Source organism: Homo sapiens, chromosome 6, assembly GCF_000001405.40.
Source record: "Homo sapiens chromosome 6, GRCh38.p14 Primary Assembly".
Lineage (NCBI taxonomy): Eukaryota > Metazoa > Chordata > Mammalia > Primates > Hominidae > Homo > Homo sapiens.
Window position 1 is genome coordinate 38,190,183 of NC_000006.12, and position 16,175 is coordinate 38,206,357.

The 16,175-nt window shown below is 42.4% G+C and overlaps 1 protein-coding gene across 7 annotated transcripts in view, besides 2 other annotated features; it reads right to left on the reverse strand.

Moving 5' to 3' along the window:
• Positions 1 to 16,175, reverse strand: part of BTBD9 (BTB domain containing 9) — a 471,479-nt gene that overhangs the window by 21,732 nt on the left and 433,572 nt on the right. For all 7 annotated transcript variants that reach the window (NM_001099272.2, XM_047418145.1, XM_047418146.1 and 4 more), the window contains one exon: positions 2,337 to 2,415. In NM_001099272.2, coding sequence (NP_001092742.1) covers positions 2,337 to 2,415 — 79 coding nt within the window. The remainder of the gene's footprint in view (positions 1 to 2,336; positions 2,416 to 16,175) is intronic.
• Positions 1,497 to 2,006: an enhancer, noted in NCBI's record as "NANOG-H3K27ac-H3K4me1 hESC enhancer chr6:38159455-38159964 (GRCh37/hg19 assembly coordinates)". NCBI's record gives its function as "activates a minimal SCP1, AML or CMV promoter by ChIP-STARR-seq in primed H9 embryonic stem cells {active_cell/tissue: H9 hESC(primed)}" and the evidence as "EXISTENCE:reporter gene assay evidence [ECO:0000049][PMID:30033119]".
• Positions 2,007 to 2,516: an enhancer, noted in NCBI's record as "NANOG-H3K27ac-H3K4me1 hESC enhancer chr6:38159965-38160474 (GRCh37/hg19 assembly coordinates)". NCBI's record gives its function as "activates a minimal SCP1, AML or CMV promoter by ChIP-STARR-seq in primed H9 embryonic stem cells {active_cell/tissue: H9 hESC(primed)}" and the evidence as "EXISTENCE:reporter gene assay evidence [ECO:0000049][PMID:30033119]".

Consider the following 16,175-nt stretch of genomic DNA (forward strand, 5'->3'; position numbering starts at 1 on the left):
TGGCCCAGCGTGGTGGCTCATGCCTGTAATCCTAGCACTCTGGAAGGCTGAGGCAGGTGGATCACCTGAGGTCAGGAGTTCGAGACCAGGCTGGCCAACATGGTGAAACCTGTCTCTACAAAAAAAAATTACAAAAATTGGCTGGGCTTGGTGGCAGGCACCTATAATCCCAGCTAACTGGGAGGCTGAGGCAGAAGAATCACTTGGACGCAGGCGGCAGAAGTTGCAGTGAGCTGAGATTGTGCCACTGCACTCCAGCTTGGGTGACAGAGTGAAACTCTGTCTAAAAAAAAAAAAAAAAAAAAAAAGATGTTTCCCAGTTGACAACACTACTTTGAGGCTTTTTTTCCCCTGATCAATAACTGATTCAAAAAGACAACTGAGCAAGTTATTCACTAGCCAAATGGGATGGATCACAAGTTAACTAGTGACCTACTATCCAACCCATTTAAAATGGCTGGTCCAATCTCCACCAAAGTGGTTGGGGCCCCTTGCACAGAGATTTTTGGGAAACTCATCATCAAAGAGAGGTCTCACACTCCAACTTCCGAGCTCTGTAATGGGAAATCATTCTTCATCTAGAATAGCTTTGAAAAAAAAGTCCAAGATTCTCTTCTTCTTCCTTGGTCACTGAGGTAACAGGGTTGGGACCTAGGGCAGCCCTAGAAGAAGGCCCTGGGCAGACTTGCCTTGCTGCTTCTTAGCCTTTTCTGACTTGAGAATTCCTTCTGTTATAATACAAAATTTCAGGGTTCCATTTGGGAATTAAAAAACTAGTCTAAAATTTTTGGGGGGATGCAGTGTATAAAAAGCAAGAACTGCAAATGAAAAACAGTTAATTCGATTTCAATATGTTACTATGTAAAAATTTCAATTGTTTATGACCTGGTGTTTATAATTCTTGAATTTTTCTTTAGAAAAAATCGGTTGGTTTACTTTTATAGTTTTCAGATTTGTTTTGAAATAAAGAGGCAAGAGGAAAAGTTCCAGGTTTCTGTTTACAAGTTCCTCTCTGCAAGAAACACATTGTAGATGTGGACCACTTTTATTCTAAATAAATAAAAAGCCAAAATGAATTTAAATTATCACAATATTTTCACGTTTAAAAATGCTTTTTGAAGTACCAGAAACACCTTGATGTGTTCTGGGGAAATTTTAATTCCATAAAGACAATGCATGAATCCCAAGCACAGGGCCCATTTGCTGGATGGAAACGAGAAGCCCTGTGTTCATAAAGCAGTAGAAAACCTTTCTGCTTTCATCTAGGGTCTCTCTCTCAAGCTGTCACGCTGGTTATTATTTGCTACTTAATGTTGTGCTCCCTCGGGCACAGGGACACCCCACTGCCACCGCCCTGCCGGCCAGTGTAGCCCCTCACAGGCACCCAGGGCACTATCCTGTGACTTGAGCTCAGGACTCACACCAGACTCGGGCTCCGCCCATCCCTGTGCCAGGGCCCCTGTTGGGAGTAGAGAGGGCAGTGATCATGGGTGAGATGAGGATGGGCAGGCCAAGCAGAACCCAGGCATCCTGGCTCAGGGAGCGGGTGGCTGAGAGCTCATGGCAGGAAGGTGGGAAGGGGCAGGAGGCGGGATTGCGTGTGGGCTGAGGCTCCAAGGTCCTGGTGTGTGTTCCGCTGTGCCGTGGAGCTTCATTTATAAAACACAATTCAAAGGTAAAAAGACCCTAAGCATTTCAAGATGGTGCCACAGAGCATTAAACCTCAAGCACTGGGTCCCATGCGACTGTCCTGGTGGCACACCATAGAGCCAATCCTGCATAAATCTGAGAAAGATCACAGAAAGGTAAAATTGCAGAAATGTTGCTACTTTTATGTTTCTCATCTACCTGTTGCATTTCGACCCATCATTTCCTATGCTGCCTCTCTTAAACCAGAGGTTCCTCGGAGGCACACGCTTGACACAGTGTGACTACGAAACAGCAGGGGAGTGATAAGTCTGCAGCACGGCCGCCTGCTAGACGCCACGCTCAGAGGGGCAAGAAACCTCATACAACTGCTGTCACTTGGGAGGGCTGAGGACTCAGAGACAAGGGATGGGGTGTTTGACCTCTCAAGCCCTCTGTGGTTGGCCGATTCCACAGAGAGCTGTAGGAATTAGCAAAGCAATAGGGGCTGGCTTTCATTTGCTAATGAAGAGATATCCAAAAATGATAATGATAACCCCACTGTGCAACTGCAGGACTTTCTCCACACCAAGCTGTCTGAATAGCAGGCCATTAGCAGGCAGAACAAACAATTCCACTTAACTCAGGATGTAGCATTTACCTGTACATCATGAAATCTCATGGCACCTCTCATGAAAAGAGACCCTTACCTCATTTGCTGTGTTGTGTGTCCCAACGATACGGATGAAGGAGGCAGGCTGCCTTTCAAAAGTTACTGACTGCCAGGACCTGTGAGAGGAAACAACCATTTGCCTGATTAGATGGTGCAGTTGACTCTCTGGTAGTGTGGCCGATGGAGTCATGTCCACTGAGGAGGGAGGGCTTCCTGTCCTCGGAGACCTGCACTATAGGAGGGGCAGGCAGCTGGGCTGCACCTAACGTATGGCTGAGAGAGGCAGGACATACACAGTGTCCCTATTCAGGAGCTTACAATCCCATCACAGAAGGCACTCCTCCCCATCTGTGAATGTCACTTAGGCTTCTTACAAAGCCCTCCATAAACAAGCACAAAGGGCAGACCAAGCTCATTACAACAAGGGGTGGGGGGAGGGGGGAGGGATGGCACTGGGAGATATACCTAATGTTAGGTGACAAGTTGATGGGTGCAGCACACCAGCATGGCACATGTATGCATATGTGACAGGCCTGCACGTTGTGCACATGTATCCTAGAACTTGGAGTATAATAATAATAAAAAAAAAAGTGCGGACAAATAGATGTAATCATGGTGGCAGGAGTTCATAAATACATTTCCCCATCTATAAAATGGGGCCATGATGGGGCCTACCCCAGGGCTGTTGGCAGAATGACCTCAGTCGTTCATCAGATGCGCATCTGAGCGGGAGCAGCTACTCAGCTCGGCAGGCTTCTGGGAGGAGGAGAGTTTTGAAGAGGGCAGGCATGCAGGAGGGCTGCAGAGGTCAGCACTTGGGCTGGGGCAGTGGGGGTCCTGCACCACCCTCTGACCCCACCATGTGAGTGATGGCACATGGGGGTTGTGGCAAGTTCTCCACAGGCCTCTACCCCCTTCTTTCCTGCTTCCAAAACGCTGCCCCCGACACTGTCTATTCTTAAGACTGGCCTGACTCTGTCTGGGTGGTTTCGAAAGCATCCCCGATATTTTCAAGGCAATTCCTCATTGATCAGCATGGGCCAGGCCAGCTCATTTAAGACTCAGCAGAGCAGGCCCTGAGCAGATCCTGAGAGGAGGAGTTCTGCTCTTGGTTGAACGCTCAGCAGCTCATCAGAATGCACTGGAGGAGTGCATGGCACCCACGACTGTAAACTCCAATAATATTTTCTGTAATAAATGTGAGGAGTTCACAGTTGCTGCCATCCCTCCTCCGCTCTCACAGTGGAAATGCCAGCTGCTGGAAGCTGTTTCCTGTAATTGTCTAATTACCAAGTAATGTTAGCAAAGAAAATATATATGTATTTGCAGTTTGTTTTTCCCCCTTTGGTTTCAGGTGTTCCATCTTCCCTCTCACTATGAACCTCCCACTGAGATTGATTCACTGCTGCCTGGACACCAGTCCCCTTAAGGTCATTAAAAAGTCATTACCATCTTGTGTGTAAAGTCTGTGCCCCTGAAACCAGTGTTCTGGAAACAAAGAAAAATCACTGTCTCCATAAAAATGCTCTTATTCACACATGAAGGTGACGCCATCTGACCATGCCCAGGGCTTGTGCTGGTGGCCTATTTTCTCGGTGGGCGACTGCTGTCCTCCCAGACCCCCAGCTCTCTTGGGGAGTTTGCTAGATGGGATGCAGCCCATGGGCCGGCAGGGGAGCCTGCAAGGCCCTGTGGGGTTTCCACAGGCCTAGCTGTCTCTTGCGAGCCAAGCAGTGGAACTGACCACACACTCATGTCCTTCCTCCAGCAGGTGAGGGGAAGTGAAGGGAGCAGCCCCTGGCCAAGGTTCACACTGTTTGGGACATCAGAGTCCCATCCCTGTCCCTAAAGGAAGCTAAGAGTACACTAAAGCTGGCCCACTGGCTGCTTCTCAGGCCACGCCTCCAGAAAGAGAAAAAGAAGTAGGATGAGTGACAGTAGCTGGTGACAGCTATTAGGTTCAAGTCAGTTTCACAAAAAGGACTGGCTTGGGGAGGCGGTGGGAGTGGAAGAAACTGAGCAAAGATTTTGTTCTTTTCAGCCTTTTAGCTCAATGCCTGTCAAATATCCAAGTGATTCTGGACAGTTGGAAGCTCTTAGTCCTCAACAACATGCGTGTGGCTCTGAGAGTGAAGGCAGGCCCAGAATCACGGCCCTGTGGTCCCACGCACTCCTCCCTCCAAGATGTAGAGGAGGTTTGAGGAGCCCAGGCAGTGAGGTCTCGCTGGGAGCCGTCCTGGGCAGAGCTGGCCTGAACCTGGGTCTCCCTCCCCTATCTCCCTTGCTGCTCCTCTTGCCTCCACTCTCCTCTCCCTACGTCAGTCTGGGCTCTGGGCTCTGGCCCCACTGCCCTTGCTTCTGCATGGGGAGGCAGGAGAGGCAGGGGAGGCAGGGCTGGCAGGGCAGCAGTCTGAGCGGGAGGGAACTTTGAGGAGTAAGAAGATCAGAAGGTCTCAATTTAATACCAATCTTCCATTACACTGCATTAATGTCTAATCACACTGGACTTCAGCCTGAGAGTTGAATATATGATTTCATTTTCAGCAGAGCCGGATAGCAATTCTAAACCAAAGTATCAGTAGTAAGGGAAGTTGGTTAGGACAAGGAAATGAGCATCTGTCTCCCCCCATCAGATTCCATTTCCCCTGAACTTTTTCAGAATAACTTGCCATGTTGCTTGAAGGGGAAATGACAAGGTGGCACCAGAGTGGTCACCACATTTGCAATCACTATGAAACCTCAAAGGAGCTGCCTTGGCTGAGATTTCACAGGGCCAGAAAACCACCTGCATTGTTTAGTCAATGCAAAACCTTGACTGCCATGTTTATTGGGCTTTATTGATAGCTGCATAAATATTCCAACTCACCAGGTACCCAGAATCTCTTCTCTAGTAGGCAAAACCTCCAGGAAAGACAACAGACTGCTAGAGGCATGGCAGCCCGCCCAGTTCAGAGCCAGGGCTGGGCGCTGAGAGGAGGGTGTTTGAACAGGAGCAGTGAATTGTTAAAAAATAAATATGGTCTTAATAAAAACAAAAAAGCTTAATAAGAACAAAAAAACCCACGCAGGATTGATGTCCCAACCCCATACTGGCTCTGACTGGATGAACCGTTACCCTCTCCGGAATGCTGACAGAAATAACACCAGTCACCTGCTCACAGAAACGCATCTAGAATGAGGTCCCAATTATGTCCAATTTAAATATGTATCTATACACATACGTATTATTTTTAAATTTTTAATTATTTTTTATTTAATAAAAATTTTAAACTTATTTACTTTTTAAATTATTTTTTATTCTTTCCCATGCACACATGTGCAGAACTATACACGTATGTATTAAAACATAGATGTCTATAAGAATGTTTGCCAAAATGTTGGTCCAGATTTTAGCTTTGGACGGAAGAATTTCAAGAGCCATTTAGTTTACTTTGGTGCTTTTCTGTACTGTTTGAACTTGGTAGAATGTCTAATACACATAAGCATTAAACAGAGTACCTATCTTGCCTATTGTCCAAGGATTTAACAATACAGATCACACGGCCTGGAGCCAGTGAGAATGCCAGCACTGTATTATTACGCCAAGTATTCCAGTGGAGAGGGTCATGGGTGACGGTCAAGACAGCAGGCTTTACTCCTGGTCTTTCGGGACTAGGGGCAATGTGGCACAGGGGTGGAGAGCATGGGCTCTGTACCCTGGCTGCCAGTGTTTGAATCTTTATTTTGTGCTTTTAACAGCTCTAGGACCTTAAGCAAGTTGCTTAGCCTCTCTAGGCTGCAGTCTCTTCATCTGTAAAATGGGAATAATAGGAATAACTACCTAAATTATTTTGGTAAAGATTAAATACATTAACAAATATAAAACATCTAGAAAAGTATTGGCATATATTAAATACTACAAAAATTAGTTGATAGTGTTATTACCACTATAATTACATTCAGCCAGTGAGATACAGTGTTCCTGGGCCTCATCTGTGAGCTGTCAAGTTTGACAGTATATGATTCAATGATTACCACAGAGGTTCTTGGGACACCCAAGGTGACTCCCATCAGCACCCATGTCTTGGAGGCAGACAAGCAGCTGGGCTTTGGAAGAATTAAATAAGTATGTTTTGAATACATTCTTGTGCATGGCACCGGCTGGGTGTTATGGAGGACATGTGCAAGATGTAGTGCCCCTTCCTTAAGAAGTGTGTAATCTCACCAGGGAGATGAGCTCTCCTTCCACAAACTCATTAGACAACAATGCAAACAGTACAGTGGTCCCAACTTATAAACAGGTGATGTTCCAAAACTTGCCTTGTAGTTGGTTGTTTGATGCTTGGAAACAATTTTTCCATAGAAATAAAGCTATAAATTTTGAGAGGGTGCCCAGACCCACCCACAAAACTCAATTTAACCCATAATGAAGCTAAAATACTATGTATATGTGAAAGAGGCAAAAAAGAGATATTGTTGTCAGAGTAGTAATTAAGCAAGCCAGAAAAACAAGGGATTTAAAACAATCTTTCTAAAGCTGCTGCTTGAGGAATGAGGATTAAATTCTGTAATGCAAATGAAATCATGGGGATGTAGCTGGAACATGGTAGGCGGTCTGTTAATAAGGAAAGTTAAAATAACGGGCCAGGTTTGTCATCCTAAAAGACTTCCCCATCCACAGACCACTGTCTGGTTTACAAAGTGTCTTAGAGTCGTGATCTATCTCATTTGGTTCCCAACACAATCTTTTGGGTAGGCAGCCAGGCAATCTGAATCCCATTTCAGAGGCGAGGAAACTGAGGCAAAGAGAAGAGAAGTAATCTGTGCGACATCCTAGAGCTGTCAGGATAGAGTCAGCAATAGAAGCCAGATTTAATGACTGTGAGCTTAGTTTCTTTCCACCAAAGGGCAAGATGAAGACCTTTCAAATAATTTAGAGGCCAAGGCACTGACTAGTCACTGTCCCCTGGGTTTTATTTTCCTGGCTCCCAGAATATTATTGACACCTCATTTACGTGTCTGTGTCATGCCTCCGGGGCCAGAACCATATGGATCATACACACGAGTGGATCATAAGGTGGCCTCAGGTAAGTGACCATCCGCTAAAGTCTCCGTTTCCCGTGTGAAGTAGGGGTGATAACAGTACTTACCATTTGGGGTTGTGAGGACTCAAGGAGAAAACACAAAGAGCATGGCATGTGGTGAAAGCAAATTAACTGTTGGCTATTACTCTCACATCTTTACATTCACACATATGGCAAACTGGAAAGAAAAGAGGCTCAGCAGGTGCTCTATGAAAAGATCAGTATGGAAAAAGATCTAAAACAGAAGCCTTGCTCAAAAGCAAGTTAGAGGACAATATGTACAATATGGGATTACACACACTAAACTGTATGCATGACTCAGGAAAACGTACAGGTCTGTAAAATAGTGTGAAATATTCTGGAAGGATAGATGCTAAATTCTTGACAGTGATTGTTCGCTGAGGAGAGGGCGAGGACTGGGACTGCTGATGGGGAACAAAGGAGATTTCAGCATTAACTAGAATGTTTCATTTCTTTGATTAAAATAAAAAAGACTTGAAGTATATGCAAAAAATATTAAATAGGGTCAATTCTGGGGATAAGTATGTGAGCAAATGTTTTATTATTTTTATTCTCTTATGGATTTTAAACAGTTCTTGAAATAAATAAAAAGAAAGAGACAGAGGAGGAGAAAGGGATTAAAACAATGTCTGTGTTCAGGTGGGCAGGAATTTGCTGGAGATGGAATTAGCTAAACTATAAATATAAAAATTAGTGGGGGAAGTGGAGTTGGTCCTGCAGTAGCAGTGTGGATCTCGCAGGTGGTGCTGCTGGCTCCAGCCAGCTGTGTCACCATCGGAAAGAAGCAGAGGACAGGAGAGCCACCGGATGGGAGGAATGTACGGTCGCCATCAGCAAGGGAGGGTTTGCGTGAGTGGCTCTGGATGATAAGGACACTGCACAGGCCCATAAGTGACGAGAGAAAGGGTGACCGTAGTGCTCAGCAGAGAGCAGCTCTCTGTCCTGAGCCTTGTTTTGCCTTCTCTGAGGATTCAGGATCCTGTGGCAAGGGTGAGGGTGCCTAGTCTTCTTGAATCTGGAAAACTATGTGACTCTACTGCACATACTATAAAGAGAAAGCACATATCAGAACTTTTCTGCAGCAGACCTGTTGAACACTGGGGAGACAGAGACAGGAAAGTATTTGGCTAGGGCCAGACTGGCAAGTAAACACAGCAAACTCAACACATGGCACAGAATGCATTCTTTCCACTAAAATGGCACTAAAGAAATATTTGTTTCCCATCAAATATATGTGTTATATATTAATTAATTAATACATGCAGACACATGCATGACCACAAAACAAAGAGGAAGAATGAGGAGGTATGACTGTCTCTCTGCATCGGCACCTCAGAGAGGAAGGCACACAGAAAGCAAGTGGAATCACACCACAGAACCCTAGAAAGGCTCAGATCCTCAAGTCACCAGCTACCTTTGAAGGTGGAGGTGTGCAGGGGGCTGAACCAGGAAGACTGGTTGAAAGAAGGAAAAAGGAGCAGGTGCACTCCTCAAATCCCTTCCCCTCCTTCCTGCATAGTGGGGACAACCATCCCTTCACCTTGACAGGAGACACACATTTCCCTCTGGAGACCATGAACAGAGAAGATCTGAACTCCGGGGACCTAGGCACAGCAGAGGGTAGAATCCTGTAGCAGCTGAGAGCAAAGGAGTTACATGGAAGTCATATCCCGGATGGTGAGACCCCCCCAGTTCCCTTCCCTCAATTGGCTTTCAGGCCCCCGTGATACAGTCTTAAACCCCAGGCAGGAGACTGGAGAGTCCCTTTCGGGAGCCGCTGACTGGCCCAAGAGGAAAGAGCTACAGATACTGAACGACCTTCCCTCTCTCTGTCCCTCTCTCCTTTCTTCCATAAATATTGATCAAGTCCTTACTATGGAATAAGCCCATTTTTAGACCCTGAGGATATAGCATACAACAAAGTTCCTGCCCTCCAAGAGCTTATGTTCTAATGGGAAGGAGACAGAAAAAAAACAAATTTATCAGCGTTAAAAAGGGGCTATGGAGAAACACAAAACAGTGTTAAGTAGACTTGGAGGAACACATTGCTTTAGTTAACATATTTAGGGAAGGTCTCTTGGGTAAGGTGACAAATGAGCTAACACCTACACAACTGGAGGACACAGCCATGCAGATCTGAAAGGGCATCCCAGTGAGAAGGCACAGAAAGCACTAGTGTGCTGGGCAGGGGTATCCTAGTGAAACATCTAATCCCTGCCTGATAACCCTCAGTGAAGCCCACAAACCCATCCATATACTAGAAGCTTCCAGCCAGCTTTCACAATGCCTAACATTTAAAGGGGAATGGGGGCAAGAAAAGCCTGGGCTGCTGCCCCTAAACTGTAGGCAGGGGTGACCATGGGCTACCATCCTCGAGGCTTGGGGTGGAGGCACAAACAAAGCTCTATTTTAGGACCTGCCTCTACAGACTGCACACTGTCCTGGATCCCAGTGAAGCCAGACCTGAGGTCAGGAGAAGCATGGCCTGCTGTCCTCAGGGCTTAGATGTGCACAGGCTATGCACTCAGGGCTGAGGGGCAACCAAGGTGCTGGCTACCACAGCAGGGGCTGAGGTATGAGCACCACGGGCATTTCCCACCTGCAGGCCTAGGCTACTGTCACTGAAGGTGGCACTGCCCTCTCCAGGGAAACAAATGAAAATGAAAACAAAATAGACCAAAACCTGTGGGACACTGCAAAAGCAGTACTCAGAGGGAAGTTTACAGATTTAAGCCCCTATATACAAAAGTAGAAAGGTTTCAAATCAACAATATAATAATGTACCTCAAGAAACTAGAAAAGGAGGAACAAATCAAACTCCTAAATTAGCAGGAGGAAAGAAACAATAAAGATTAGAGCAGAATTAAATGAAATAGAGACTACATAAAAATACAAAGGATCAATGAAATGGAAAATTGGTTCTTAGAAAAGATAAACAAAATTGATAAACTGCTAGCTAGACTAACCAAGAAGACAGAAGACCCAAATTAACAAAATTAGAAGTGAAAAAGGAAACATTACAACTGATGCCACCGAAATACAAAAGATCATCAAAGACTATTCTGAACAACTATATGCTAACAAACTAGAAAACCTAGAAGAAATGGATAAACTCCTGGAAACATGCAATCTATCAAGATTGAATCAGGAAGAAATAGAAAACGTGAACAGATCAATAATGAGTAGTGAAATGGAATCCATAACAAAAAGTCTCCCAACAAAGAAAAGCTCAGGACCTGATGGATTCACTGACAAATTCTACCAAACATATAAAGAGGAACTAATACCAATCCTCTTCAAACTATTCTAAAAAATTAGGTGGCACATGCCTGTAATACCAGCTACTTGGGAGGCTGAGGCAGGAGAACTGCTTGAGTCTGGGAGTTTGCGATTGCAGTGAGCATTGATTGTGCCATGACATGCCAGCCTGGGCAACAGAGCAAGACCCTGTCTATAAAAAAAATAAAGTAAAAATAAAAAAAAAATCCCAAAACCAAAGAGGAGGGAATACTCCTTAACTCATTCTGCAAGACCAGCATTACCCTGACACCAAAACCTGACAAGAACAAAACAACAAAAGAAAACTACAGGCCAATATCCTCAATGAACACAGACACAAAACTTCTCAAAAAAATACTAGCAAACCAAATTTAACAGAGCATCAAAAAGATAATACACCATGATCAAGTGGGATCTAACCCAGGGATGCAAGGATGGTTTAACAGACACAAATCAATAAACGTGATACATTAGATCAACAAAATCGAGGACAAAAACCATATGATCATTTCAATAGACACAGAAAAAGCATTTAATAGAATTCAACATCCCTTCATAATAAGAAGTCTCAACAAACTAGCCATATAAGGATATACCTCAAAATAATAAAAGCCATCTATGACAAACCCATAGCTAACATCGTACTGAATGGGGAAAAGTTGAAATTCTTTTCTGTAAGAACTGGAACAAGACATGGATGCCCACTCTCACCACTCGTATTCAACATAGTACTAGAAGTCATAGGCAGGGCAATCAAGCAAGAGAAAGAAATAAAAGGCATCCGAATTGGAAAAGAGGATGTCAAATTGTTCCTTTTTGCAGATGACATCTTATATTCAGAAAGACCAAAGGATTCCACCCAAAAACTCTTAAGGGTTGATAAGCAGATTCAGTAAAGCTGCAGGATACAAAACCATCATACAAAATTCAGTAGCATTTCTATACACCAATAATGAACTAGCTAAGAAAGAAGTCAAGAAGGCAATCCCATTTACAATAGCTGCCATGGAAAAAAATTCCTAGGAATAAATTTAACCAAGGAGGTGGAAAATCTCTACAACGAAAACCACAAAATACTGATGAAAGAAACTGAAGAGAATACAAACAAATGGAAACTCATCTTATGCTCATGGATTAGAATAATTAATACCATTAAAATGACTGTACTGCCCAAAACAATATACAGATTCAATACAATCTCCATCAAAAATACCAAAAATCCAAAAATGTCGTTTTTTTTGTTTTTTTTTTTTTTTTTTGAGATGGAATCTCGCTCTGTTGCCAGGCTGGAGTGCAGTGACACAATCTCAGCTCACTGCAACCTCCACCCCACAAGCTCAAGCGATTCTCCTGCCTCAGCCTCCCGAGTAGCTGGGACTATGAGTGTGCGGCACCACACCCAGCTAATTTTTTTGTATTTTTAGTAGAAATGGGGTTTCACCATGTTGGCCAGGATGGTCTCCATCTCTTGACCTAATGAACCACCTCGGCCTCCCAAAGTGCTGGGATTACACACGTGAGCCACTGCACCCAGCCCAAAAATGTCATTTTTTACAGAAACAGAAAAAAAAAATCCTAAAATTCATGTAGAACCAAAAAAGAGCCAGTATAGCTAAAGCAATCCTAAGAAAAAAGAACAAAGCTAGAGGCTTTGCAGTCACTACCTGACTTCAAAATATAGTACAAGGCTATAGTAATCAAAACAGATGGTATGAGTATAAAAACAGCCCAACAGAGTATACTGGAACACCCAGAAATAAATCCACATATCTACAGCCAACTGATACTCAACAAAGGAACCAAGAACTTACACCAGGGAAAGGATACCCTCTTCAATAAATGGTGCTGGGAAAATTGGATATCCATATGCAAACTGGACCCCTATCTCTCATCATATACAAAAATCAACTCAAGATTGATTAAGGACTTAAATGTAAGACCTGAAACTATAAAAATAATAGAAGAAAACATAGGGAAACCAGTTCAGGATATTGGTCTAGCCAAATGGGACTGTATTAAATTTAAAAATTTATGCACAGCAAAGTAAATAATCAATAGAGTGATAAGGTAATCTGTTGAATAGGAGAAAATACCCGCAAACTATTCATCTAACAAGGGACTAATATCCAGAATGTACAAATAAAAATTTCATTAAAAAATGGGCAAAGGACATGAATAGACACTTTTCAAAAGAAGACATACAAATAGCCAAAGGGTATATGAAAAAATGCTCAACATCACTAAGCATTGGGAAAATGTAAATCAAAACCACAATGAGATATCATCTTACCTCAGTTAGAATGCTATTATTAAAAAGACAAAAATAATAGATGTTGGTAAGAATGAAGAGAAAAAGGAACTCTTATACACTGTTGGTGGGAATGTAAATTAGTACAGAAACCATGGAAAACAGTATAGAGATTTCTCAATAAACTACTACTATTTTTCAAGCTGAGAAATAAATTTTTAAAAATCTAAAAGTACAACTATAGGAAATGGATAAATTTCTGGAAACATGCAATCTACCAAATGATCCAGCAATTTCACTTCTGGCTATCTATCCAAAAAAAAAGAAATCAGTATTTCAAAGGGATATCTGCACTCACATGTTAATGTGGCACTATTCACAATAGCAAAGAGATGGAATCAACCTAAGTGTCCATCAATGGACGTAAGGGTAAAGAAAATGTGGTATATTTACATAATGCAATACTGTTTGGCCATAAAAAAGAATGAAATCATGTCATTTGCAGCAACACGGATGAAACTGAAGGTCATTATGTTAAGTGATATCATTCAGGCCCAGAAAGACAAACCCCACATGTTTTCTCTCATATGTAGGAGCTAAAAAACTTGATCATATGAAGATAGAGAACAGAATGATAGATGCCAAAGGGTGGGAAGGGTGTGAAGGTGGAAGGGGGAAATGAAGAAAGGGGGGTGAATAGGTAGGAATTTACAGTTAGTTAGAAGAAATAAGTTCTAATGTTCCATAGCAGACTAGGGTGACTATAGTTAGCAACAATGTATTGTATATTTCAAAGTAGCTAAAAGGACTTGAAATGCTACCAACACATAGAAATGATAAATACTCAAGATGATGAATACTCCAAATAACCTGACTTGGTCATTACACATTCTATGCATGTAAAAAGCATTCACATGTAGCCCATAAATATGTAAAACACTATGTATCAATAAAATTAAAAATTAAAAAAAGATAACAGCAACTGTTGATGAAAATGTGAAGAAACTGGAACCCCTATATACTGCTTGTGGGAATGTTCAAAGGTGTGGCCACTTTGGAAAACAACCTGGCAGTTCCTCAGGTGGTTAAATAGAGAGGTGTGATATGATCCAAAAATTCTACTTCAAGATACATACCCAAGAAAAATGAAAACACATGTCCACACAAAAACTTGTTCATGAATCTTCACAGCTGCATTATTCATAATAAAAAGTGGAAACAACCCAAATGTCCATCAACTGATGAATGGATAGATAAAATGTAGTATATCCATACACTGGAATACTGTTCAGCAATAATAAGATTTTGATACACGCTATTAATATAATATGATGAACCCGCTAAGTGAAAGAAGCCAATAACAAAGGATCATGTATTGTATGATTCCATTTATATGAAATGTATAGAATATACAGACAGAAAGTAGATTAGTGGTTGCCTAGGGCTGGGGAATTAACTGGGGGGATTGGGAGGTGATGGCTATTGGGTATGTGGTTTCTTTCTGGAGTAATGAAAATGTTCAAAAATTGATTATGGTGATGGATGCAAACTCTGTGAATATACTAAAGCCATGGAATTGTGCACTTTCAGTGGGTGAATTGTATGGTATATGAATTGTATCTCAATAAAGCTGTTTAAAATGTTCAAAAAAAGACTGTAACATGAAAGATGACCAACAGCAAATAGAGAAAAGTAATGACTCAGAGGACATGGATACAGTTCAGTAAGCAGAATACAGCTTCAGGAAAAAAAAACCCTAAATTATCCTCAGAAAGATAAAAGGAAGCATTATTACATCTTTGAAATAGGAATAAATAAAATGATATGAAAAAATAACATTTAGTGAACAAGAAAGTGCTCTTGTAAATTAAAACTATGAGCGACATAAATAATTCAACAAATGGGTTAGAAAGTTAAGTTGAGGAAATTTCCCAGAATGTCAAATCAAATGACAAAGATAAAAAATAGAAGAGAAAGTATAAGAGAATAGAAGAATCAAATGAGGAATTCCACCATCTAATTTAGATGTTCCAGTAAGAAATATGATGTTCCAGAGAAAATATGAGCTAGGAAAGTGCCAAAGTCACACAACAAATTTTCCCACATATGAAGGACATAAGATTCCAGGTTAAAGATCCTACTAAGTAGCCATTACAAGAAATGAGAAAAGATCCGCACCAAAGTATATTATTAAGAAACTTTGGAAGATCTTAAAAGTTCTGGAGGGGGAAAAAGCAGGTCATCACAAAGACCTGGGAATCAGGTTCACATAAATTTTTCAAAAGCAACACTGGGGGTGAGAAGATAATAGATCACTTCCTTCTAAATGCTGAGGGAAAAATTAGTGACCATTCCCAGACAAAGTAAATGAAGTATGAGAACAGAATAAAGAAATTGTCATTCAGGCATAAAAAAAATTCACCTTCATCCTCTCTTTGTATTTATGCGAAGAAAAATAAAAATAATAAAATAAAAACTTCACCTCCAATGCATTCACAAGGAACTACCAGAAAATGTGTTCCACCAAAACAAAGGACCAACTTAAGATAAAGAAAGTTATGGGATACTATCACTTGAGGCCAGGAGTTCGAGACCAGCCTGGCCAACATGGCAAAACCCCTTCTTTACTAAAAATACAAAAATTAGCCAGGCATGGTGGTGCGCACCTGTACTCCAAGCTACTCAGGAGGCTGAGGCATGAGAATTGCTTGAACCTAAGAGGCGGAGGTTGCAGTGAGCCAACACTGTGCCACTGCACTCCAGCCTGAGAGAGCAGGAGTCTGTCTCAAAAAAAAAAAAGAAAGAAAGAAAGAAAGGAAGTTATGGGATCCACAAAACAGAGAATGTGAAATGGAATAAAGGCAAGAAGAATTCCTAAGATAATGGGATGGGAGATCCCAGGATGAGAGCCGTAAAACAGGCCCACAGGACAACTAGTCCAGACTGCAGAGGGAAGGCGGGCAGCTTATGGGAACATCTCAAGGGAGAAAGAGAAACTAATTGACCAGATGTATTAACCAGGTTACAAGAATTTGTGTTGCTCTGACAACACAAATTGTGTTGTGGGGGAAGAATCAGTGATAGTACACAGAAAATTAATGAAGGATAGGTATACAGAAAACTAAGCAATTTTTTTTTTTTGGAGATGGAGTCTTGCTCTGTTGCCAGGCTAGAGTACAGTGGCATGATTTTGGCTCACTGCAACCTCGCCTCCCAGCTTGGGAGGCTTGAACCCACCTCCCGGGTTCAAGCAATTCTCTGCCTC